The 25251-nt window shown below is 56.0% G+C and overlaps 1 long non-coding RNA gene across 5 annotated transcripts, besides 1 other annotated feature; it reads right to left on the bottom strand.

Moving 5' to 3' along the window:
• Positions 9172-9816: an enhancer, noted in NCBI's record as "H3K4me1 hESC enhancer chr4:3662253-3662897 (GRCh37/hg19 assembly coordinates)". NCBI's record gives its function as "activates a minimal SCP1, AML or CMV promoter by ChIP-STARR-seq in naive H9 embryonic stem cells {active_cell/tissue: H9 hESC(naive)}" and the evidence as "EXISTENCE:reporter gene assay evidence [ECO:0000049][PMID:30033119]".
• Positions 16412-25237, bottom strand: LOC105374357 (uncharacterized). Of its 5 annotated transcripts, none has more exons than XR_925067.3 (3): positions 21462-25237; positions 17234-21286; positions 16412-17110 (listed from the first exon to the last, which is right to left on the bottom strand). It is a non-coding gene; the product is annotated as an uncharacterized LOC105374357 (long non-coding RNA). The 5 variants fall into 5 exon arrangements; XR_925065.3 differs by having other exon boundaries at positions 16412-18648; positions 18821-21286; XR_925066.3 differs by having other exon boundaries at positions 16412-21286; positions 21462-21717; positions 21950-25237.
• Positions 25238-25251: the final 14 nt, after the last annotated feature.

The following is a 25251-nucleotide window of genomic DNA, read 5'->3' as shown; positions in this document are numbered from 1 at the left end:
TAATTGGAAACTCTGGTTCCTGCTTCAGCTAAATTTGAATACTTAGATGGAAAACCGGGCCTTTTATTTTTACTGGGGAAGGGATTTAACTCAGTCTTTTGGAAGTACTTAAGAAAGCAGAGAATGTCTCTTTTCTCAGAGAATATTGTACCCTGAATCAAAACAGAGAGTCAAATTATCTTAATGGTTGTTATATAAAGTGATGCTTAGTCATTTTCTTAAACTATTTGTCTGAAATGGGAAATTTCTCTAAATCACATATAAGACTGAAACCAACTAAAATTCATTTTTCTCTCCAACAAAATCAACGGTAAGTGTCCCGCAGCTGAGAGTCTTCAAATCACAGTCATTGCAAGGACAATATTAATCACGGCACACGCGGCCCCGCCCGCATGTCAATACCCTCACCTACTGTCACATTCAAGGTGTCACCATCTCCAGCAGGCAGGCCAGCTGTGGCAGGGATGGACACACCACAGGGCCGGACGCCAGCCACACACTCACACCGGCTCAGCACCCAACCAGAGAGGATCTTCCGGAGCCAGCACCCCCGCCGGCGTGGGCCGCCTCCTTGGTTGCCAGCAACTCGGCTTTGAAGATGGAAAGTTTTGCCATGGGCCGGGGCTCTGCAGTTTGGCTTCTGAATTCAGTCCACGGGGACAGACAGCGTTCGCTAAGATGAAACCACGTCTCGATGACGCTGTGTCGTGGAAGGTGCCCCGACTGCTGGTGGCGTGGCCCAGCCAGTGTTTGGGCCAGCAGCACAAATAGCCAATTTCGGTCCCCGCCGCTGCAGCAGCTGCCAGGAAGCTGGGCGATAAAGTGGCCCCCATTTTAAACCGATGGAGCTGCAGTTGGGGGGCGGCCGCGCAGACAGCTGCAGAATGAACCGTGAGCCTCCCGGAGCAACGATGAAGTTTAAGGATTCGAGTTCTTGACTCAGGGCATCTGGGGTCTTCCAAGCCCTGGAGCAGCGCCCTCTCCCTGGCTGCCCTTCGCTCGTTCGGCAGGCACCATTCAAAGACCCCCAAGTACCTCCCAGAGGGGGCGTGTCGAGGGCTCCCACTTGGCCAGGAGGTGCTCCACCCCAGGCCCCCTTGTGCCGCTGGGCCTCCCCAGCCTTGGTCCCTGTGGACCTGAGCCAGCAGCGATGCCTGCTGTGTGGGGCTGCTGTGGGGACGGAGCTGGTGACCCACAGAAGGCTCTCCGCAGGGCCAGTGCACAGACGGGCTCTGCCATCGGAAGCCACCATGTGCACACAGGCCAGCCACTAGGGCCTCACAGTCCCGCCAGGGGTCAGGCAGGAAAGGATGAGGGCCCAGAGTGAGGGCTCCGGTGGACTTCCTGCAAGGCAAAGTGAGACACAGAGAGAGGTTGAGGTCGCCTCCATCTGGGCACCAGGTGAACGGACAGCCCCCAAGGAGAAGGTGCCCCAGGGCCGAGGTCTGGAGAAGTCGGTTTTTGTGTGGTGGGCTTTGGGGATATGGGCATTCCAGGCTAAAAGCTCAATCTAAGCAAGGGCCTGAAGGCTTGAAATCCCCCGAGCCCCATTTGGGGGCTGCAGTAGACTGTGTGCAAGCAAGACTAGCGGGGAACAAATGGCGGGGGTGGGGGGGCAAGGGACAGAACGTGCCAGACCTTGCATGTCAGGCACCGGCTTTGGCCTGCAGCCCAAGGGCAATGGGGAGCCATGGAAGAGGTTTGGGCACGGGAGTTAAGCCAGAAGAGTGCTTAGGGAGGCTGTCTCAGGTGTATCTTCAGATGCAGGGGCAGGGCAGCCTGGACCATGCCACCCAGAGCAGACAAAGGGGGCACAGATGAAAGCCAAGCCTGATTCAAAACAACAAGGCTTCTTAGTGGGCAGGTGACATTATTTTTAGGTTATTGGAGTCATTATTGTTATCATTATTAAATAGCCCCCACCTTACAGGGATATTAGAACTTCATGCTTTTCAAATTATTTACACATATTTTGGCTCATTTGATTCTTCCAAGAGTCAGTGAGGTCAGGGTGCGTCTCATTAGTGTCATTCCTGTTTTCCACACGTGCACGACTTAGCCTCTTACTTGAAGCCAGATACCTGTGTGGATTGCATTAGGATGGATATGCAGACTCCCAGTTCCTTGTCCTGGGACTCAGGGACCACAGACTCTTTAACTACCCATCCGAGGAATTGAATCTTAGCAGCATTTATTTTAGAAGGTTTTAGGTCCAAGTGTCAGAGTGCGGGCTAGAGACTTACGTTGCCCTCAGATCCTCATTGCGGTCTAGCTGCAGACCCAAAAAAGTGCAAATTTAGAGTATGTGTGTGTCATATGTGTGTGTGTTTGTGTCTGTGGTGTGTGTGTTTGTGTGTGTGGTGTGTGTTTGTGTGTGGTGTGTGTTTGTGTATGTGGTGTGTGTGTGTGTGGTGTGTGTGTTTGTATGTGTGTGTGTGGTGTGTTTGTGTGCGGTATGTGTGTTTGTGTGTGTGTGTGTGTTTAAACTGAGCACATGAGATCAACAGAAATCATTAGACTTCAGGAAATTAAGGTCAAGAAAAACCATCATTCATAGAAAGGGTTTTCTCCTCCTCTCCTCCCCGACTTCTCCATTCCCCTCTCTTCTCCTTTCTCTCTCACTAGGGATCCTCCTCCTGTCACCTTCAGCTCCTCCCAGTTCCATCCTCTCCCTCCCTTTCTCATTCCCTCCTTCCTTCCCTGCCTTCCTTCCTTCCTGTTATTATTGGTGTCCTGAGAATTCAGGCAGTGCCTTTAAAATTCCTGTTCTCTCTCAGTCAGCTATCGCTGTGTAACAAAGGCTTAAAACATAGACCATTCATTTGGCTCAAGATTCTGAGGTTCAGCAGTTCAGGCTGGGCTCAGCTGGGAGGTTCTTCACTAGGCCTCTCATGCGTCGGCCAGCAGAGGCAGGTTGAGAGCGTGGTTTTGCTGGTTCCACTTGAGCTTCCTCACATCTCAGGGACTTCTGCAAGAAAGACGGGTGGCTCAACTCTGCTTATGCTGCCCTGTCCCTAGCAGGCTGGCCAGCCTGGCTCAGATGGTGGCAGCAGGGGTCCCGACAAGGACGAACAGCACACAGGGCTTCTTGAGGCTGAGGTTTGGAGCTGCTATGTCATTGTCACTTCCAGCCCATTCCACCAGCCAAGGCAAGACATGAGGTCAGCCAGGGTCCAGGGGTATGGGATTAGGCCCCAGCCCTTGATCAGAGGAGCTGCAAAGTCACATGGTGAATGGTGTGATATGAGCAGGAGTGCAGCCCTGGGGACCCTGCTGCCATGGACCCCTGGCCCTGTGCTCAGGCCTGCCCATCTCCCAGTGTGACTTCCTGTCCTGTGCATTACCAGATGTTGGCATCCCGGGTTGAGGGCCCCCTCAAGTCCCCTCCTCCCTGGACCCTTGGGCCCAGCAGCAACTCTGCAGGGCCTGAGCCCCCACCGGCCCAACCTGGGCAATGGAATTCCCTCTGGCCATGACCTCCTTTCCCTGTGGGCCAGAACGACTTTGGGGAGGAGGCTTGCCGGGGCCAGGCAGGACCCTGAGTGCCAACCCAGGATGGGTGTGGGTTCATCTCCAGGAAGCCTCCCACCGGCCCCCAGAACACCTGCTGTGTTCTCCCACTCGAGGAGCTCTCAGCAGTCTCCCCTGGGGACACCACAAATGTTTCTGTAAACAGCCTCGCACACGAGTCCCGTACATGCTGGAGCTGCGGGCTCTGCTGCGTTTTCCCTGCAGGATGGGCTCCCTGATGGCTGCCCAGTCAAATGCATTTTGCTTTATTTTGTCACAGGGCCAGGCAAACAATGGTCATTGGCCAAATCCAGCCCATGGCCTGTTTTTCTAAATAAAGTTTTATTGGGACACAGCCACACCCAGTCATTCATGAATCCTCCATGGCTGCTTTTACTACAAAAGCAGAAGTGAGTAGTTTCAATAGACTCACAAAACACATAAGATGGGTCACAAAACCAAAAATATTGATTTTCTGGTTCTTTATAGAAAAGATCTGCCAACACTTGTCCTGTATTAACAGATCCCTGGTGTGATCTTCTAAAACCGCTCTCTGGCTACTCTGTGTTTAAACCCTTCAGAGGTTTAAACCCTGATGGGAGGAAGTCCCCATGCCCCTTCCTAGTGGCCAAGTTGTTGTCTGCTCGAGAAACAGAGGCTGCTCAGGGCTCCCTGCACTCATCTACCCGGGGCAGGCCTCTGCACCTCTGCTCCTGGGATTTTCCAGTTTTCTCTGTTGACAAGACCACACTGCCCTGGACCTCCACTTCCTCCATTTCTGAGACTCACCAGCAATTCCAGCAGGACTCAGCTTAGGCCCCGCCCTCCCAAGAAGACTTCACCGCTAGATGGGTACCTCCTCTGTGCTCCTGCAGCTCCAGGGCTGCCCTGCCCTATCGGAAATCACTCTCAGTCCCTCTCACGATGCGGCAAGCTCCTGGGAGCCAGCATGGGATCTGTCCCATCTCTGTGTGCCAAATGCCCAGCACAGGCTGCAGGCTGTGCATTTGGAAATGTGCACATAGGAAATGGCCCATGGATAGATGGGTGGTGAGGGAAGGAAAGAAGGAAGGAAGGGATTGAGTGGGTAAAAGGATGCATGGATGGATGGATGGGTGGATCAAGGAGTGGATGGATGCATGGATGAATGGATGGATGAGTGGATGGGTGGGTGAATGGATGGGTGGGTGGATGGATGGATGGATGGATGAATGGATAGAGGGGTGGATGGGTGGGTGAATGGATGGGTGGATGGATGGATGGATGACTGGAGGGGTGGATGGATGGGTGGATGACTGGATGGGTGGGTGAATGGATAGGTGGGTGGGTGGATGAATGGATGAATGGATAGAGGGGTGGATGGGTGGGTGTATGGATGGGTGGTTGGGTGGATGGATGAATGGGATGGATGGATTAATGCATAGGTACATGGTGAATAGATAGTCATGAATGGATGGACGGATAGATGTATATGTGGGGAACAGATGGATGAGCACACAAACTGTCTGCCTGGGAGTCTGGAGACCTAAGATTGTCTGGACCTATAAGTTCCTCCACAGACTCAGCCCTGCCCCTAACAGCAATGCTGTTAAAATTAACCATGGATTTTTTTTCTTTCTTGTTCTAAATGTACTGGGTAGCTGAGCCCGCTGGTGGTTTGCAGAGCGGGTTTCATCTGCTCTCAAAGCCAGTCCACATGAAGCCCAGCCTTGGTAGCTGTTTTTCCTCCTCTATCTTTCGAGCAGACGCATTTGGCAGACAGCAGATTTTGTCATTTTTCTTCACTTGGGCTGTTATTCCTGAGTAATAACTCATGCTCACAGGAAGGTTGGACTTCTCAGTAATGATATTGAAATTGGATCCCTGGGCACAGGGCATGCAGCAAGCCAGTGAGGCCCTAGCATGTCAATGAGGCGGGCCTGGCCTGGCAGTGCCCAGGGCTGTCTGTCTGGAGAGGGGCTGCTCTTGTACAGCATCTCCCTGAGCCAGGGCCTGGGCTGCACCTCGGCAACCTCCCAACTGCCTCCAACTTGCACAGCAGAACCACGAGAAAATCCCCAGTGAGTGTCTCCTAGTTAAGGACCTAATGTGTCTTACCCAGGAGTGACCATGTCCCAGCTCTGAGCACGGACATCTGTGGTAAGAATAGTACCACGTGCCCGGGAGTCAGGCCCTTGTCACTGAGTCCAGTTCAGAAAGCCCCTGGGCCTATATTCAGCTGTGAATGCAGAAGACACAAATCAGACCACACCACTGTAGGACCCAGAAAAAAAATGCAAATGCATGGTCCTCACCGAAAATTATTAACAATTTCAGGATGGCAACAAGAGAGAATTAAACCAAGCACCGAGTCCCCTTGAGCACTGAGACCTGAGCACAGGGTCCTCCTGAGCACCAAGTCCTCCTGAGCGCTGAGTCCTTCTGAGCAACGAGTCCTCCTGAGCACAGTCTCCCTAAGCACGGGTCCTCCTAAGCATGGAGTCCTCCTGAGCACCAAGGTCTCCTGGGCACCAAGTCCTCCTGAGCACGGGGTCCTCCTGGGCACTGAGTCTCCCTGAGCACCAGGTCCTTCTGAGCACTGGGTCCTCCTGAGCATGAGGTCCTCCTGAGCACGGGGTCCTCCTGAGCACTGAGTCCTCCTGAGCACAGGGTCCTCCCGAGCCCAGGGTCCTCCTGATCAGTGAGTCCTCCTGAGCCCGGGGCCCTCCTGAGAGGGGTTCTGTGTGTCTGCTGGGGGCACAGCCTGTGAAGCTGGCCAGGGACACAGCTTTGGCTCTGAGCTCCCTGAGGCTCTGCTCTCTGCATGCCTGGGTTGAGCAATTTCACTCACAGCCCAGCTGCAGGTTATCAGCTGGGGCCATGCAAGTAGGTGCCACTAAGGACAGGCTTGCAGGTGGCCATTATTCAGGTGGCAGGCACTTCCTCCTCACTCCACCTCATCACCGTTGCCCATCTTCTCCCCAGTGGCCGTCCTGAGCGTGCTCTGGACCTTGGTGGATGGGCCCCGGGCTGTCTGTTGTTGCTGCTGTGGTTCTGTTTGAAAAGCTCCCCTTGTCACCAGGGACGCAGGCTCTGCCTGGAAGGGCTGTCCCTGGCTTCCCCCCGGCCTGTCCTCTCCCCTCCTGTTTGAGTTGCTGTTCTACAGTCTCCATTGCAACCTCACCTTTTCCGAGGTCGCCCATGGGTTGGCACACACTGTTGGCCATGCACCCTCTGCCGCCTCTCCAGAGGATGGCAAGGAAGAATATGAGGTGAAACAAAGGCACTCACACACATGGGTGCACTCTCACACACACTACACTCACACACACTGCACTCTCACACACACTGCACTCACACACACTGCACTCTCACACACTACACTCTCACACACACTACATTCTCACACACTCTACACTTTCACACACTACACTCACACACACTACATTCTCTCACACACTACACACACACACTACACTCACACACACACTACACTCACACACACTACATTCTCACACACACTACACTCACACACTACACGCTCACACACACTGCACTCACACACACTACATTCTCTCACACACTACACACACACACTGCATTCACACACACTACACTCACACACACACTACACTCACACACACTACATTCTCACACACACTACACTCACACACTACACGCTCACACACACTGCACTCACACGCACTGCACTCTCACACACACTACATTCTCACACACACTACACTCTCACACACTGCAGTCACACACTACACGCTCACACACACTGCACTCACACACACTGCACTCACACACACACTGCACTCTCACACACACACTGTACACACACCACTGTAGGACACACCACTGTCTCCTATGTGACGAGAGGGGCAGCCCCAGGCCAAAGGTGAATGAAAAGGAGACATTGGTTCTCGGGCCCAAGTGGTGGCATCACAACAGCGTCGTAAAGGATTTTCCAGGGTGGTCCCATCTCCACACAACTCCGATGTTAGGATCACTGACTTCGGTGCCTCATGTCTCCCAGGATGACCTCCAGGGTGTTTCGAAAGGAAGAAGACAGCAGCCACGGGGCGCCGGAGCAGGTGGGACCGGCTCTGCCCCTGCAGCCTGGAAGAAGGCCGGGGTTCTCCCACTAAGTCACGCAGCTTCCAAAGCTGGGCGACCCCACCCACCTCTTCTGCTGTGAAAGGGGCCTCCTCACCCGGGACGCAGTGCAGGGGCTGTTGCCATTTCAGGAGAGTCCCCTAGAGGCCAAGGACCCCACCTCCCGAGCAGGTTGCAAGACCTGCATTTGGGCGGGACTGTATCCCCAGAGTCAAACGGCAGCTGCGGAAACAGAAGCAAGCTTACTTTCTTTTCCACTGAACAAATTCAACTTTGGGATGCAATGAAGCGCGACTTCTTCAAATGGACAAACAGGTAGCAAGCGCTGACTTGGGAGAGCGATCTCTCAGAGTAAATTGTAGGACAGCAAAGTCGCAAGACTCCTCTGCTGTTCCCAGATAGGACTTTCCAGGCACAACTGTGCAGTTGTAGCTGTGAGTGCAGGAAGGGCTCTGCCGGAGGCTCAAGGGCCTTCCCTCATCCGCCCTCCACGCGCCCTCATCCTCTCTCCACGCGCCATCCCTCCTGCCCGCGACCTCTTCTCCAGCGGTGAGCCAAGCCACGTGGCCGGCAGGGGTCCTGGCCGCACTCTCCCCTCCCGGTGTCTACTGTCTGTGCCATGTGACTTTGCCTTTGCTCCCACCAGCCTTGACTCTGGTTCACTTGTGAGTTGTTTGATGGCAGAGGTGATGAAGCAGGGCCTTGGTGTGTGCCTGAGGGGTAACCAGGAGGGGAATACACCCTAGGAGGGCAGCCTCTGCAGCCTGGGCCCCAGGACAACCACCGGAGGAGGGGGACCTGCGTGGGAGCCACATCCATCAAGAGCACAGCGTGAAGCAGGACCAGTCAGTCCTTGCCGTGAGCAGACCTCAGCCGACCCTCAAGCCCGAGAGGAACACGCGCTCCCCTCCTCAGGCCAGGGTGGACGCCTGCAGCTGGTCTGCAGCAGCACTGACAGGCGCGTTTCCCCCACAGCCCCTCTCCATCAGACACTGTGTGAGACTCCCGACAGCTCCAGATCACTCCTGTGAGCTTCAAGAATTCAGACCTTTTTATTTGTTGTTGCAAGGTTTGCAAAATCCTTTTGGAGTATTTTGATGCATATAGAATCTTCCGGAAGGTCTGGGTTTTGTGCCTGAGGACAAGGCTGGTGGTGGGCAGGGTATGTTAGATAAGTGGCCAGGCCCTGGTGAATATTTTCATTTTGGAAGGCACTAGCTCTGAGAATGCTGCACACATGCAGGGGTGCCCTGGGCACCTGCCCCTGCCCGGCACAGGTCGTGGGAAGCTATTAGGAACCCTAGACTGGGTATCGGATCCCAGCTGTATAGCCTCCCTTTGCTGTTCCCTCACCCCGTGAGATCCTGGGGCAGGCCCTCCTCACTGTGGGCGTCGCATGCCCCATCTGTCCAAGGGGACAACCAGACGGGCTCTGGGGCCTTCTGAGGCCAGCTCAGCTCTGGTCTTCGGCCCCGTCCACAGCCCACCCTCCGCTCCCCAGCTCCTCTGAATTCTTGTCACTTTGGCTTGGCTGGCAGGGAGGGCACCCCCAACCTGCCTCCAGCCTGCAGACCCCCCTGCCACCCACTGTGGAAGGCTGGGCAGGAGAAGGGCCACAACCCAGGTGTCCCCGTCAGAGTTCTAACTGTGTGGCTGCTTCTGACACACGCAAGGGTGTTTTCTTCCACCTCTGCCTCCCTGAGACAGCGTTTCCCTGGGGAGCCCTGAGCACTCCCTCACTCTACCACCCCTTCCTTTCACCCCAGGGCCCCCAGCTGCCTCAGGGCCCTCTCACCTCCTGCCACAGTGACAAGGTTAGGGTCAGGGTCAGGGTCACCACACACAAACACACACAACACACACACACGCACACCACACACACATACACACCACACATCACACACACACACACACAGCACACACAACACACACTATACAGCACACACACACTACACAGCACACTACACAACACACACACCATACACATCACACACACCATACACATCACACACAAGCCCTGGCCATGAAGGGCCGACTGTTAGAGCTGCTGTTTAGCCTCCTGGTTGTCGAGGGAGAGCAGTCGCCTCCCTGCAAGTCTGCCATGCAGCTGGCTTCTCGGCTGGGTGCCGAGGCTGGGCTTGGTTCCCTGGGCCAGCAGCTGCAGGTGTGGTCTGAGCTCTGCATTTCAGGATGGCTGGGCGGTTGTCCGCTTGTGTGTTCAGACACTCACAGCACAGCTGTCTGCATCTCGTGCCTGTCTACCGGGGGATCCTGACCCCACCCCCTGGGAAGACCGTAGGGGATTACGTGAATGACAGGGCAGACACCAGCCCCTGATACAAGCAACCCCACAGGGCCGCTGAACCGTGACCAGGATTCCTGTCCTCAGGGAGGTGATTTTGGACCCACCCCACCCCTCCGTGCAGGCAGGTCGCATTCAAGTTCCTTCCGTGACCCGCAAGAGGTTCGGAGGCTCCCAGGTCCCCAGCCCCAGCCCCTGGTCTGTCACAGACGATGGGCGGTTCCGCAGATCCCCTCCAGGCTCTGCCCAAAGCTTGCCTGTCTCTCATCTGGGATAAGCTGCCTGGTGTGGGTTACAGTCCAGAGGAATGTCACCCGCAACCACTGGACATGGGGAGCCCCAAAGAAATCAGGGTTGGACCAAGGGCCGAAAATGAAGGAAAAATGTGCAGGGTGAGACTACGTAGGGGGACAGCGCTACATATCCATGGGGAACACCGAGACCTGAAACATCCGGGGACAGGTGTGTGCCCAGTTGCCAGTGACACCAGGCTCTGCACTGCCGGGAGAGGCCAGGCAGAGCCATCTTGGTGAGAAAGCACCGGATAGCCCTCCCCAGACAAGCGCCCCCTCCCCTCATTGGTCAGGGAAGCCACTGGGGACCTGGGAGTTTTTGGAAGGGCCTGTGGGGGATCAAAGGGAGGAGGTGAGCCCAGAGAGCTGGCTGCAGACTCCAAGGGAGTGGCTGCGTGTCCCAGCGGGGAGGTCCATGCTATCCAGTCAGGTGGGTGGGCATGTGCCTGTCGGTGCAGAGGCAGATAGCAGGGGCTGGAGTCCAGGAGAGAGGTGGCCCCTGCAGCAAGTGTGTGGTGGGGGGCGTTCAGAGGGAGCAGGGAGAGGTGTGGGACCCCTGCTCACCAGGTCCCTGGTTTAATAAAACGTGACCAGAATGACTCCATCTTGAAGTGTGTAACTAGGCACTCACAAGGCACCTGTAAGGTAATGCTTGTGTTCTGAAAATAGCCACATCCTAAGCTGACCACCAGTGATAATTGCAGAATATTTATGGCCATACAGGACATCTCCTGGCAAGCCTGCAGGACATCCAGATGTCCTGAGAGTGCAGGCCACTGTGCTCAGGGATGAGGACAGTTAGCGGCTGAGGCTGGAGGATGCACGGTCACTGACAGTCCTCGGTTGAGTGAGAGCATCTGCACGTTCCAGGCTCAGTTAGAGCTCCTGATGGTTTCTTACGAAATGGCAGCACCAGTGGAGGATGCTGCCTTCATCCTCCCGCTTTTGGAGGACGCCCTACTCTGTAATGAAGTCATTTCGAATCAACTTGCCTCTTTCGCAGAGCTCTGTGACTCGCTTGAATTCTTTCCTGAGTGAGATCTAAGAACCCGTGTTGGGGTCTGGATCGGGACCCACTTTTCTGGCAGCAGCACATCCTCCAGAGCCCTTTCTGGCTGGGGACTCAGGGAGCTTGTGGGCCAGGGCAGAGAGACAAAGGAGAGGAGGGAAGGCTGGGGACAGGGACAGAAGGTCCAGGACAGACTTGGGGGCCGTTAGCAGAAGAGACCAGAAGGGCCCAGCAGGAGAGACCACGTCCCCGAGGCTGGAGGGCGGGTGTGTGGGGAGATGTCAGATCTGCAGACACCGTGTGTCTAGCGGCCCCCATGTCGTGTATGTCAAAGTGTGCAACTCTGCTGGAGCCTGGAGCAGGGCAGGATGGAACAGAACAGCCTTTAGGGGAAGGGAAGGGGACCGGGGGCTGGAGACCAGGGTGCCTCATGCCGTGTGAGGTTGGGCAGACGCCAGGAGAAAGCCCCAGCCTGGCAGGGAGCCCGGGGCTTCCTGGGGCTGCTGAGAGCTGGCCGGGGTGCCAGCGGGTTGGATTGTGGGGTTTGTATCCTCCTTGTTTTGAAACAGGGACAAGCAGCCTGCTGAAAGCAAACACAACTGCAAGGTAAAATAAAATGCTAGAGAAGCTCCCAAGGAAATCTGAGCCCAGGGAGAGGAAAGACGGCCGAGAGTGACTAAAGCAAGGCTGGTCCCACAGTGAAGGCCCCAGGCACTGCGACCCTGGGAGAGGCTGCCAGGCACAGGGGAGGGGAGGCACCAGGAGGGTCAGAGAGGAAGCACACAGGGGAGTGGGGACCAGAGACAGGTCTCCCTGGGCCCCTCTGCCAGGCCCAGCCGGGTGGAGACGGGCTGTGCCAGGAGAAGCCTGAGCCAGGGTTCCAGGACGCCCAGCCGGCTCCTCGGTGGAGGAAGGCGTGGCTCAGAGCTCGGCGCTCCAGGCCTTGGTGTGAGACTGAAGAGGGGGTGCTGTGTATGTGTGCGGGCGGGGGGGTGCTCCAGGCGTGAGGCATTGCAAGGCATTGCACCCTAGGGATGTCATGGGATTGTTTTCTGGTGCAGGGTTGGCAGCCTCCTGTGGGGCCCGGCCGCTGTGTGTTCTGAGCTCTGACACCTCCTCACCACTGGGGAATTCATGACGCACTCCCCGAGAGGGCCAGGGCGCACATACTTCGTAGTTACATTGAGTTAAGAGAATGTTATTTTTAAGTATTTTGGAAAAACACTTGAAGAAGCCAGGACAAATCCCCAAAGCCATGTCAGAGATCCCTGGTTTAGGGGCGACTTCCTCTCCCTCTTCCAGCCTCACATCCTCCACCAGCGAGACGGAGGGTCAGCGACGGAGACGCCAACATTTTCCTCCAGTCGTCTCCTCTTAGGAAGAAAAACGAGCTTATTCTCACCAAAGTGTCAGGGGCTGGGTTTGTCATCAGCATGGTGTGTATTCATGTTTGAAAAACCAGAGAAAGGGAGTCAGTGGGTAGGCGACAAGGGTCACCTGAATGTGGACCTGCAGGCAGAGGGTGAAGCCCCTGCCTTTCCCCCACCCCAGGCAGCCCCCATGAGAGGTGGGAGAGGGAGCCGGACCCCTCCTCACTCAGACCCCAGCCAGCGCCTGGGCTTGGAGTTGGCGCGTTGCTTCCTGGCCGTGCTTCTGCCCCTTGGGCCCTCACTTCGCTGATCTGTAAAATGGCACGAGAATAGTTGTATCCATCCTCATGGAGTTGCTGAGGGGATTGATTGAGAACATGCAAAGTCCTTAGCACCTTAGCACAGGGCCTCCACTTAGGTGCTCAGTAAACACCAGATATTACCATTAGGCACCTGTGCAGAGAGGGGGAGCGGGAGAGGGAAGAGGGGGACCAGGGGAGGGAGGGAGCCCACATCCCCGGGCACAGGCAGACTTGACATCCTTATTTGCATGAAAAAAGAGTGCACTGGCTTCCGGGTGTCATAAACCTCCTGTTTCAAGTACGCACAGCCAATTTATTTTTATGAAGCACTGAGGCCTTAGACTGTCTGGAAGCTGATTGGCCACACTCGGTGCCATTTCTCTCCCGACCTGCAGGCTTTCCTGCCTTTTGTTTTGTGTCTTCTTTCCTCTGGGCAGAGCGGGGAGTGGATTCCTCGGCTTCGCATTTTTTCCTTTTTTTTGCAATAAATGAAGAGGAAACAGATCCATAGACACAAAGGTGTGGCCTGGCCAGCCCTGAGCATCTGAAGTTTGAGATCATCCTTCTAGGGGGCTCTGGGGCTCAGGCCTGGGCCAGGAGCCAGGCCCTCCCTGCAGGGTGTCCTGCCACAGCTCACAGTGCATAGGCCACCAGCACACATGCACCTGCCACGCGCCAGACCCACAGAAGGGATGAGGGAAGCCCTGGGGGTCCCGCCAACGATGCTGAGTCCACAGCACTGCGGTTTCATCTTCCTTATTGTTGTCACAACCCCAGACCCTGGAGCGGGACACAGCACACCTGTGCCCCATGAATATCGCGGTGTGAATGAGTAAGTGACAGAAAGCACGGATGGGCGATTTTAAAGAATAGGGACCTGTGGGCTGTGACGGGCAGGATGCCTGCGCCCCAGGGCTCACGGTCTCGGCAGGGATGTGGTTTTGGTAGCCCCTACATCGAGTGAGGACTTCTGTGATAATGACCACTGTCAATCACAAGAAAGAAACTGAGGCACAATGAACAGAGAGAGTTTATTTGGGTCAAGGTTGAGGACGGTGGCTGGGACATTGGGGGTGCTACCTCGGCCTTTGTTACAAGCAGGTTTTAAAGGCAAAGCAGGTAAGGAGTGGGCGGATACAAAGTCCTCTGACAGGAGTTCTCATTGGTTTAAGAGACAGCATGGATCGGTGATTGGCCGTCACCATTGATTCTAGAGGATGAGTTACAGGGTCCAGCAGGAGGCACTTTATGGCTACCCGGTGTCAGCCTAGAGCCCATACAGCTGGCAGATTCAAGAGGTCGTTCTCTAGCTCGAGGGGGAGTGGGACGTGGCTGCTGTCACATTTTAATGCCTCTCTGGGCCTGATAATTTAACGGAGCTCACATTCCTCAGATTAAAAGTTTCTTTTCTTTCTCACATAAAATGCTGGCACAGGGTCAGGAGCATGGGTGCTCTGTGGTAACAATCATAAATGTGTTACATTCAGCTTAGCAGAAAGCTGCCTCCTTCTGTATTGTGAGTTCCGCCTAAAGGTTTCTAGGTCTGTAGTGAACTGTACCTAACTGCAGGTGTACAGACGTGACCCACTCCTGCAGCAACCAAGCCGGCTGTTTCTGGACGTCACCTCCATCTCTGTGGGCAAATGCTATCCAACCGCGGGGCCACCCTGGAGTCTCTCAGAACCTATTCCGCCCCCAGGGGCTGCCCAGCTGAGAATCGTTCCCTCCTCAATCAGCTTTAATTTGCCTGAAGTTTTTCTCTGAACAAGTGCAACAAGGGAGGATCAGCCTCAGGGGAGGGAGGGGGACAACCCTGGGGAGGGAGGATCAGCCCCGGGGGAGGGAGGATCAGCCTTAGGGGAGGGAGGATCAGCCTTAGGGGAGGGAGGATCAGCCCTGGGGGAGGGAGGATCAGCCTCAGGGGAGGGAGGGGGACAACCCTGGGGAGGGAGGATCAGCCCCGGGGGAGGGAGGGGGACAGCCCTGGGGGAGGGAGGGAAGATCAGCTCCAGGTGACTGAAGACCCTTGGCCTCCTTCCGGTGCTGCCCAGAACCGGGCTCCTTATCCAGCTGGGGGAAGGGATCCATTTGGACCCTTCTGTCTTCAGGAGGTAGTGGGGACAGACTTGGTGACAGGGTGGACAGGTGAGGGTTCAAGGAGGACAAGAAGAGCCCCAGCAACCGCAGGGCAGCCAGACTCTGAGGGGCCACAAGTCCAGTTGCCCCAGGCACCGGCTGCCGTGGCACATTGTGAAAGGCTGAGTGTCTCCCGACTCAGAGAAGCTGGTCATGAAGACACCAGAGCCAGCAGAAGGGATCACGTGCCACCCAGCATCTCCACAGAAGAACGGGTCACTTGGGCCCTGGCCCTGGGTGCCCATCACAGAGAAGGAAGCAGGGCAGCTATTGGTGGGCAAGTGTCCCCCGGTAGATGGAGCCATCCTGCCCCCACCATCCTGGAATGGAAGGGTCATCAGACTTGGGTTTGAGGAAGACCATGCCGCCAGTGCCGCATATGTCAGAGGGGCCAAAGTGAGGGTGAGACTTAGGTGAGTGGTGGGGTCACAGAGAGGAAGGGGTGGGGCAGGCCTGTGTCCTCACAGGACCCTCGTGGGGTGTGGCATTACCCTACTCCACAGACCTCAAGACCCAGGGCCAGAAGCAGTGAGCAACCACCCACGGTCACCACCGAATACAAACGCGGGGCAGGGGCAGGCTTCATGCCCAGCACCCATGCACCACGCCCCACACTCTTCTTGTGGGCTGAAATCAGGGTCTCCAGGGGCAAAGCTCTTGGGGAGCAATGGGCTCCCGAGCCTAGCGGTGCACATGCTTTCACGCTGCCTTCCCAGACGCTGCGGCCACGCGGGTGGGGCCTCTCCTCCCGGGACCTGGCCTGGGGAGGGGCCTGAGCTTTCAGGATCCCCTGACTGTTTACCGGTACCTTAGCCAGGGAAGAGCTCTCAGGGCACCAGAGAACTGCCCAGAGCCGCAGAAATGACCAGACGGGAAGCAGATGTTCCAGAACCGCAGAGGACGAAGTCTTGGCCGTGCCAGGTTCTGCACAGGTGGGCAGCCAGGACCGGCACGTGGACAGAGGAGCCTCAGTCAAGGAGGGACTGCAGAACCTGCCAGAACCTGCCGGGACCTGCTGGAACCTTCATTTTCCCTGGAGGCTGGGTCTGGCCAGGTCCACCCCTCCCAGTGGCCTGGAATTGCCTGCGGCCGACCTGCTCACCGCTATGGGCAGCAAAGAGCACCTTGGAGCTGCCAGAGGTGGCCGAGGACAGATGCCATGCTGGGGCCTCGGTTTCCTCCTGAGAAAATGGGAGTAATAACCCTGCTCGCATGCTGTAGGAGGATGCGAGGTAGCGCTGGTGGGAGATGCAGGCAGGGCCACTCAACTTCCCTCCACCTCCGCCCGCTCAGGGCCTCAGTTTCCCCACCTGCAACTGAGAAGCCTGAACTAGACCATTTTAGAAGGAACTCCTGTCTGGGACTTATTTATTCAACCACATACTCCATTCTTTCGAGAAGTATTTATTAAGACTGCTTTGTTCCCAGACCCCACAGCCAGCGAGGGGAGGGCTCCCTGGTCTCCAGCAGAAGACAGGTGAACAAGTAAGCAGCTCAGGAGCCTGAGCGGACAGAGTGGCTGTGCTGGGAGGGCAGGCAGGCAGAGGAAGGGCGGAGATTTAGTGGGTGGTGTGCTTGGAGGTCACGGGAGAGGTGCCTCTGCGGAGGGCAACAGGAGGCGTGGAATTGGGGAGGGGACGGCAGGCACAAAGGCCCTGGGCAGAGGCATTGGGCCAGGCACACTCCCTGGACTCACAGATGCTCCTTCCCCTGGTGAAGGCTGGAACCCCTGGCCAGGCCTGGGCCGGGGAGACCCAAAGAGGCACAGTAGCCAGTCGGAGTTTTATCCAGAGCATGAGGGGCAGCCCCTATGAGTGTCAGCTGGGGGCGGTGGCATATGGTGTCTGCCTTCCACTCTCAAAGGCCTCTCTGGCTGTCTTCAGGACCGCAAGCAGAGTGGGAGTCCCCGGCCAGGGCCAGGCCATGGGAACAGTCTGGGGAGCAGCCAGGGTAACTTGTGCCAAGCTGACGGCCAAGGAGGTGAGACTCAGGTGCCTTCGAGAGCAAAGTCTGCCTGCAGACCCGGGGGCATCAAAGCAGATTCTGGGGTTCTGGGCTAAGCCCCTGGACAGGTGGCAGGGCCGGACCTGAGATGAGGCAGAGAGCAGAAGAAACCAGCGTCCATCTACACATGCTCAGGTTGTGGTGCCTGTCAGATACCTGCTGGAGGAAACGAGGGATTCTGCACAGAATTCTTCAGGGATTCTTACCAACAAGCGGGAGACAGACGGGCCCTGGGACCCAGGCCAGCACTCTGCAAACTGTTCTACACACCTGGGGAGCCCACGGGAGAGGGCAGTGCTCAGGGCTGCAGCCCAGGGCCTCTGTGCACAGAGGGGAAACTGAGGCTTAAAGAGGAGGAGCTGTTGACTAAAAGTCACAGAGCTGGCCCTGGAGCCCAGACTCCCCCTCCCAGGTCTGCCCCCATGACCTGCAGTGAGTGCACACGCACTCAAGCACAAGCACACAAGTGCACACACGCACATGCACATAAGCACACACATGCACACACGCACACGCGTACAAGCACACACATGCACACACACGCACACATGCACACACACGCACACACCATGCAGCCTTGTTCCCGGCAGCCGACAGCCCCCACTCCCTGGCGTACCGCGTTTGTTTCCTCCCGAAGGCCTCACCCGCCCAACAGTGCCTCTTCAATGCTGGAAGATGCCAATCTCTGCCTTGAGAGGGCTTGGAGCATTTCATTTCCCTTTGCCTCCTCCCTCTGACCCACCAGCTGCTCGCCTTTACCGGTGCACCCAAGAACCCTGGGCGCAGCAGCAGCTCCAGGTGCAGCAGTGCAGAGGGTGAATTCAGACAGGCCCCTCCCTCCCTCCAGCCACTGGGTCAAGCCCCAGGGAGGAGAGGTCCCTGCTTGGGGCCACGGAGGGGAAGGAGAGCAGAAGGAACTGAATGGAAACCCAAGGCTCCACCCCCGCCCCCACCTCAGTAACCCTGGCCCTTCGGGCGAGCAACATACCCTGGTATTTATAATGGATTTTCCACATCCTTTGATGTCTTGCAAAACATAATAACACGCAGAGTCATTTTCCAAAAGCAAGTGGGCTGAAGTTCGCTGAGAGGGGTCTGCCACCAATTTACTCAAAAGCAAGCCTTTCTTTTGCCCAAGCTGCCCTCTCAAGGGGTGCCAGTGCAGAAGCACAAGGGGCGCCAGTGCAGAAGCACAAGGGGCAAGGTGGGCCAGGACCTATAGACGGGAGAGCTGCTCCGGCCAGGATGTGGCTCCAGGGCTCAACCCAGCAGCCAAGACAAACTCAGCATTTAACCACGGATGAAAATGAGCACCTTCGGGATGTTCCTGAATCCCCAGGATTCCCCAGGGAGGGTGCTGCCTCCAGAGCCTCCAACCCCGTGGGGAAGGGCAGGGGAAGCACTGTGCCCTGCGGGTCCTGCCCCAACCCACTACCTGGAAGTGGGCCCAGCTGGGAGCCGGGGAGTGTCAGGCAGAGCCACCCCTTCTCAAGCCCTCTGCTTCCCACTGTGAGCTCCCTGAGCCCTGGCGGGAAGCTCAACATCCGCGTGGGTAAATGGTGGTGAAGGCAGCGGTGAGGGCCGGAGAGATGACACTCGCTTTTACTTCAGTTAGCACCAGCTAACAGCAAAAGAGAGGAGGATACTGCAACTGTTCAGTAATTGATTAACCGGTGTAAAGCAAACTGGTGAAGTGACTTACGTCATTGGTTTAAAAGAGCAAAGACACGCTACTATATTAACTTTTGAGTTTGTAGGTTTGTAGGGGAAGGAGAACGATGAAAAGCTCTAACCTCACTAAGCTCCGGGCGCTGGGCAGCCGTGACAACAGAGCTGGTGCACACAGGCTGGCACTGTGGGGCGGCCCCTCTGCCTGCCCTGCCCACGCACTGCCATTCCACAGTGTACAGATGGGGAAACTGAGGCACGGTACAGGGACATGGTTTCCCCCCTTCCTGGAGCCAGGACCCATTTCTTTCTCCACCTGGAAAGGTGGGCAGCAGGAAAACACCACACACCTCTGCTTTGAGATAAAAAAAAACTGCTGGCTGCTGGCACTGCCAGGAAAGGCAGCCCCAGCACTCCAGGCCCCTCCACAATGTGCTGGGCGGCTCCCCATGGAGGGCTACCGAGTACAGTTCCTTCAGAGCATTTGGGTTGGGTGGGCTGGCAGAGGGGACAGGTCAGAAGGTGAGGCCGGGCCGAGCCACGTCTTCCATCCATCTTGGAGGCAGAAAGAGGCCACTTCCAGAGCTCCTGGGGTCTGAGGCCATGTGAGAGACGCCGGCCATACAGCAGCAGATGCCAGACCTCTCCCTGTCTGCACGCAGGGATGCCGGAGTGCAGAGCCAGGACCAGCTCTGTACAAATAAGTAACAGTCTAGCTATCAGACCTGCCCCGTAAGGAAGTGGCCACCCCATGTGGGAGTTCCTTGTCCCTGGAAAGGTCCAAACAGAAACCACGGGACCCCATCTCAGAGGAGCTACGTGCAAACATTTGCTCTATGTGAAATATATTTGTTACAGTATTCAACCTTAAAATGGAAGGAACGGCCGGCACACCATGACAGGGAGCACCTTGAGGGCGTTGTGCTCAGTGGAATAAGCCGGTCACAAAAGGACAAATCCTGTAGGAGTCTATCGTACGAGGTCCCTAGAGTCAAACTCATAGAGACAGAGAGAAGGGCAGGTGCCAGGGGCTGCGGGAAGGGGAGCGGTTGGCGTTTAAAGGGGACAGGGCTTCAGTCTGAGAAGAAAGGCTCCACGGGTGGAGGGTACTGAGGGCTGCGCAGCATTGTGAATGTGCTTAGTGACACCGAACTGTGCATGTGAAATGGTTAAAATGCTAAGTTTTATGTCATGTTATCAATTACATTTTTAAGAATGCATCCATCGTCACCCGCCCGTACTGTGAATGAGAGACGCTGTCCCTGCTTTCGAGACTTATGGTCTGAGGGGAGAGGCAGCCTGGAAAGTGGCAATTAGGATGCCCAGAGGGGAGAGAGAGCAGCAAAGAGTGAGGGTGTCCTGGGAGGGCACAGAAGAGGAACCAAGAGCGGGGCGGGCTCCCAGGAAGGAGTGAGTGCCAGTCCCAGGTCGGAGTAAGGGGCCACTCTGGCAAAAACCACATCCAAAAGCCCAGAGGAGACAGAAGCTGCACATCTGGGGACCTGAAAGCAAACCCAGAGGGCCAGTGTCACAGACAGAATGGGCAGAGTGGGAGGAGGCCTCATCCCAGAGCATCCACGCCTTGGAAAGCAGGTGCCCCTGGGAGCCAGGCAGGTCCACGCTGCCTTCCCACCTAACAAAGGAAACAAATGAACAAACCCCAGCTCCCGAGGGGCCAGGCCCTGGGCACTCCATTCCCCAGCATCACCTGACTCAGTCCTCAAGATCCCCCCAAAAACGCCCATAACAGTGGGTATATTACTCCCATTTTACAGATGAGGAAACTGCAGCCTGATGGAGGTGAGCTCCGCCTCGATGCAGGAAGTGTTTTATGACAGTGCGGTAGAATTTTAAAACAAAAGAACACGCGATCAGGCGTGCACTGTGCCACCCACGCTGACCGAGATGCGTCGACTTCTCACAGCACAGATTCCTCTGCTGACTCTAAACCCAGGAGCTTCTGAGCCCTCAGCCCTAAACCAGAGCAGCCACTCTGAGCTGAGTGTCTCCTCTGCATCCGGCACGATTTCAGACTTGACGGGGGTGCAGAGAAAATGTGAGGCGTCACTTCCGCCCCTCAAAAACTGACATTTTAAATGAGAGGTGCAGAGTCTCATGTGTGGGAAAAATTGGAACAATCGTGGGACTGTTGCTTTAAAACAGCCCCTGGTCCACGGTTCCCCATCTCAGGGCTTATAAGAGAACAAGGCTCACAGAGCATTGGAAGCTAGGACAGGTATGAGTGTGTGTCGCCTACAAAGTGATTCCAAACGCAGTGAGGTAGAGAGATGAAGCCAGCCCGCCAGGATGAACACAGGGAAGGAGGTGCTTCATCTCCTCTCTCACGTCCCAAAATAGAAAAATGCTTTTTTCCCCACCAGAAGACGGGGTCTGCCTCCTATGCACTGACACTGCCTTCTCTTCCCACTCATCAGTCTTCAAAACCCACCGGGAGTGGGGACAGTTGAGCTGGAGGTGAGCCCTGCATTCAGAAGGCAGCATCCTGCCCTGGACCACGGCCCTGTTCACACTGGGTATACAGCAGGCGTTTTGTCTGACACTTCATCCATTCAGTGGGTCGGGAAACAGGGCTGCCGGAAAGAGACAAACCAGAAATGTGTCTCCCAGGAGCTGTGCACGCCAGGCCACCCCTGCGGAGTCTGAGGAAGGGGTTAGACTGTCAGCCCGGGGCCCGGCCGCTTGGGCTGAGGGCCATCCACTCATCCCGAGTGTGGGTGAAACCTGAGTGGGTGGACCCTTTCTCACCTGAGGATGAGGAAGAGGAAGCCCAGCAACCGGGGCCTTGGAAAATTGCGGCAGGACGAATCAAACACAACCGCATCTCATAAGGCTGGGAGGGAGGGTGCCCCATGAAAATGATTTCTCCAGCCGCCCGCCCGAAGGGTATTTTTAGCAACTGTCGCATGCCCACCATGGGCAAGCCAGGCTGATGAGAAAGACAGCGGGAACTGGAGAATGGAATGATGGCAACGAAATAAAACCACGCGTGGATCAAAACTGCCTGGGAACAGAAACATACAGAACTGATGCTGAAGAAGACAAAATATGTGACGCGGAGAATGAAGCGGGGAAGGAGGGAGCCCGGGCATGGCAGGAAGGGGCAGGGAGCTGGGCAGCAGGTGCTCCCCAGAGGAAAGAGAGGCAGGGTGGGGAGCAGGTGAGGAGGAGGAGGAAGCGCTGAACTTTCCTGAGCTGCGGAGGCGGGCGGGGTCGGGGGTGGTTTGGGGACAAACCAAGTTCCCAGTAACTTGAAGAAGTGCACTTCAGAGGACCAGGCCTCACGCAGCTCCGGCTGAGTTTGTGAGCCCGGTGATGCAGCAGCACCCTGGCCTCCACGCCCGGAAGGAACATGTTGGTGCCAGGCCACCTTTCCCGTTCCTGAAGGTCGCAGAAGGGCCTTCTCAAATCAATGGGCAGACAATGCTATCCTCAGGAACAACTTTGAAAAGCTGACTTGAACATGAGCCCCAAACCCTGAGGGATGAATCAAAGCTAAGAATTCAAGACTAGGGAAGTTACTGGGACCCCAGACTCAAGAATCAGGCCATCGCTGGTGCAGGGTAGGGGCAAGAAGGATGGGGTGTGGTGGGGAGTTCTGCCCCCATGACTTCCCCGCCCTGCTTTTCTTGGGCTTGGTTCCTTCCTTGATTCTACAAAATGTGCTTTGGACCAATCAGTGAAACGATATTAAATTGTCCATTTTGTAGGTTAAAATTCTATAGGGTTCAACCTAATATTTGGCTTTGCGGTTCAGAGAGACTCTCTTTCCGCATCTGATTCTTCAGCATTGTACCTGGCACCAGAGCCTTCCACATGCCAAGCTGTTGCAGGCTGGGCCCCCATCCAGGAGCAATTACTGAACGAAACACTTCTTTTTCCCCTTAAAAAGACTCGTGAAGCCACACCATGCCACTGTTATTGCCAAGGTGCTTGAGCGATGATTTTCCACATGCTTGTGGCCGTAACTTACATTTAATGACATGAGTCAGGGGCTTGTTTCTGCACCAGAAGACCAATAAGCCTCCCGGTGACAGATAGGGTCTGTCACCCCATTCGTCAAACTCTACGTCATGTCACCTCATGATATTCCCAATGATGCCTTACAGTCGCCATATGCACAACGGCCTCCGTAGTACGCAGCTGAGTGTGAAACATATGGAGAGAGTAAAAGGCTGTGCTAATGTCTGCTGGAGTCAACGATTCCTAAGTGGAGGGTCTGTGCCATTTTGCTTTTCCTTCTTTCTTATAATTTTCTGCAGATTCTTCATTTTCTACAGGGCATGTCTCACTCCGTTCAGCTTTCTGTAACAAAATACCATAGACTGGGTGGCTTATAAACAACAGGAATCTATTTCTCTCAGTTCTGGAGGCTGGAAGTCCAAGATTAAGGTGCCTGCAGATTTGGTGTCTGGTGAAGCCACCTCCCCATTGGACAGCCGTCTGTCTTTTTGCTGGGTGGCATGTGGCAGAGGGGGTGAGGGGTCTCTCCCTGGCCTCTTTCATAAGGAAACTAATTCCATTCATGACCTAATCACCTCCCCTTGTCCTAGCATCATCAGCCTGGGGATGAGGTTTCACCTCCCCTCCTCCTAGTATCACCAGCCTGGGGATGAGGATTCACCTCCCCTCCTCCTAGTATCACCAGCCTGAGGACGAGGATTCACCTTCCCTCCTCCTAGCATCACCAGCCTGGGGACGAGTATTCACCTCCCCTCCTCCTAGTATCATCAGCCTGGGGATGAGGATTCACCTCCCCTCCTCCTAGTATCACCAGCCTGAGGATGAGGATTCACCTCCCCTCCTCCTAGTATCATCAGCCTGGGGACGAGTATTCACCTCCCCTCCTCCTAGCATCATCAGCCTGGGGACTAGGATTTCAACATCTGAGCTTGGGGGACAGAAACAGCCCGTAGCAAAGCATGTGCATTTTTATCATGGAAAACGTGTTTTTCAAATTTGAATCAGCATTTTGTCTACATGATGGCATAGACACCGGGGGTCCCCACCTGGTCCCCAGCACTGGCGGCTGCACCGTCGCCAGCTCCTGGGAGTGAGGTCTGACAGCTTGCAGCCACTCCATTCCCCAGATAGCTGAGTCTGGCCACAGGGAGCTGCTGCTCCTGGGGAGCTGTCCTCCCACCAGTGAAGGCCTCGCCAGTGACTGACCACGTGGAGGCACAGAAGGCGTCCCCTGGCCTCAGGGCAGGCCCACCCCAGGGTGCAGCTCCCACTCCGGAGCACCTGTGGGGGACCAGACCACGGTGCAACTCGAGCTGAGGTCACCTCCCTGCTCAGCCCCTTCACCCACCCGGTCCTGCTCCCCACCCTCTGTCCTGAGGAAACCCCAATAAATCATGTGATGTGATGAGAATTATGTCACTGCCACAGGACTGCTGTGAGAATCGTGAAGTAAAGGGGCTGGCACCTGGTACACTGAGGGGCTCACCAAACTCCAGCGTCCCAGCACTGTGGGGCTCCAGCCGGCCAGGCATCTGATAGGCAGCGCCTTGGCATTCCAGAAGGGCGGCTGTGAACACGGGGTTCAGAGCCTGCACACTGGCAGAGGCGTCTGCACCATAGACCGAGCCAGGTGCCGGGGCAGAGCACAAGCAGCCTGTCCTCGCTCCAAGACCCCAATTCCCCTTCTCCTGTCAGTGGGAACCTAGGTCCCAGGCTCTCTGTGGAGCCCCATGCTGCAAAATATCTTAGTCGGCGCCCTGTTCCTGTCAGGCCCAGGTTCTGGGGAGAGCAGGGGTGGGAGAGGGCGCTGGGTGCTGGCCAGGGCAGTGCACACAGTTGTCTGTCCTGGCCGTAGGGCAGTGACCCTGTTCCCACCACAGGCGGCCCTGGCAGGCAGGCAAACCACCAACAGACCCCAGGCCCTGCACCTGACGTCTGCTCTGGAAGTCGGTCTGCATTTAGTTTTGGGTTTAACAAACATTTTTAACCCCATCATTTTCAACGAGTGTAAGATTCACAAAAGCATTGGAAGTTCTATTAAAAAGAGGCTCAAAATTACTACAGAAACCAAAGGACAGAGTTTTAAAAATAGCAACTGGTGAGAAAAATGACAAATGCCGCACATTTGATGGGGTGAGTCATCTCCTGGCGGCGCCATCCTCAGCCACACCCGAGTGAAGGGCTGCGCCTGATGCTGTCCTCAGGGACCAGCTGGACAGGGACGCGGGGACGTGCTTCTCTATGTGCGGGGAGAGGCGGGCGTAGGCGGCTGGCGCTGGCTCCCCGACGGCAAACCAAGGAGCTTAAAGGCCAGGCAGGGACAAGGGGTTGCTGAGGAAACTTCCGGGGCTTCTCAGGTCCAGGCTGACCAGGTTTACACACCAGAAAGTGAGGGCCCCGCACAGGGCAGGGATCCTCGGCCAGGGCGAGGTGGGCAGGGCAGGGCTGCCCCATGTGGACATTCATTCATTCCTACCCACGCCTGCCACACATTCATTCATTCATTTCCACCTGCACCCATCACACATCCATTCCTTCCCTCCCCCGCCCACCACATTCATCCCTTCCCCCCGAG

This window comes from Homo sapiens, chromosome 4 (genome assembly GCF_000001405.40).
Source record: "Homo sapiens chromosome 4, GRCh38.p14 Primary Assembly".
Taxonomy (NCBI): domain Eukaryota; kingdom Metazoa; phylum Chordata; class Mammalia; order Primates; family Hominidae; genus Homo; species Homo sapiens.
This window is presented reverse-complemented; position numbering and strand designations above follow the sequence as displayed.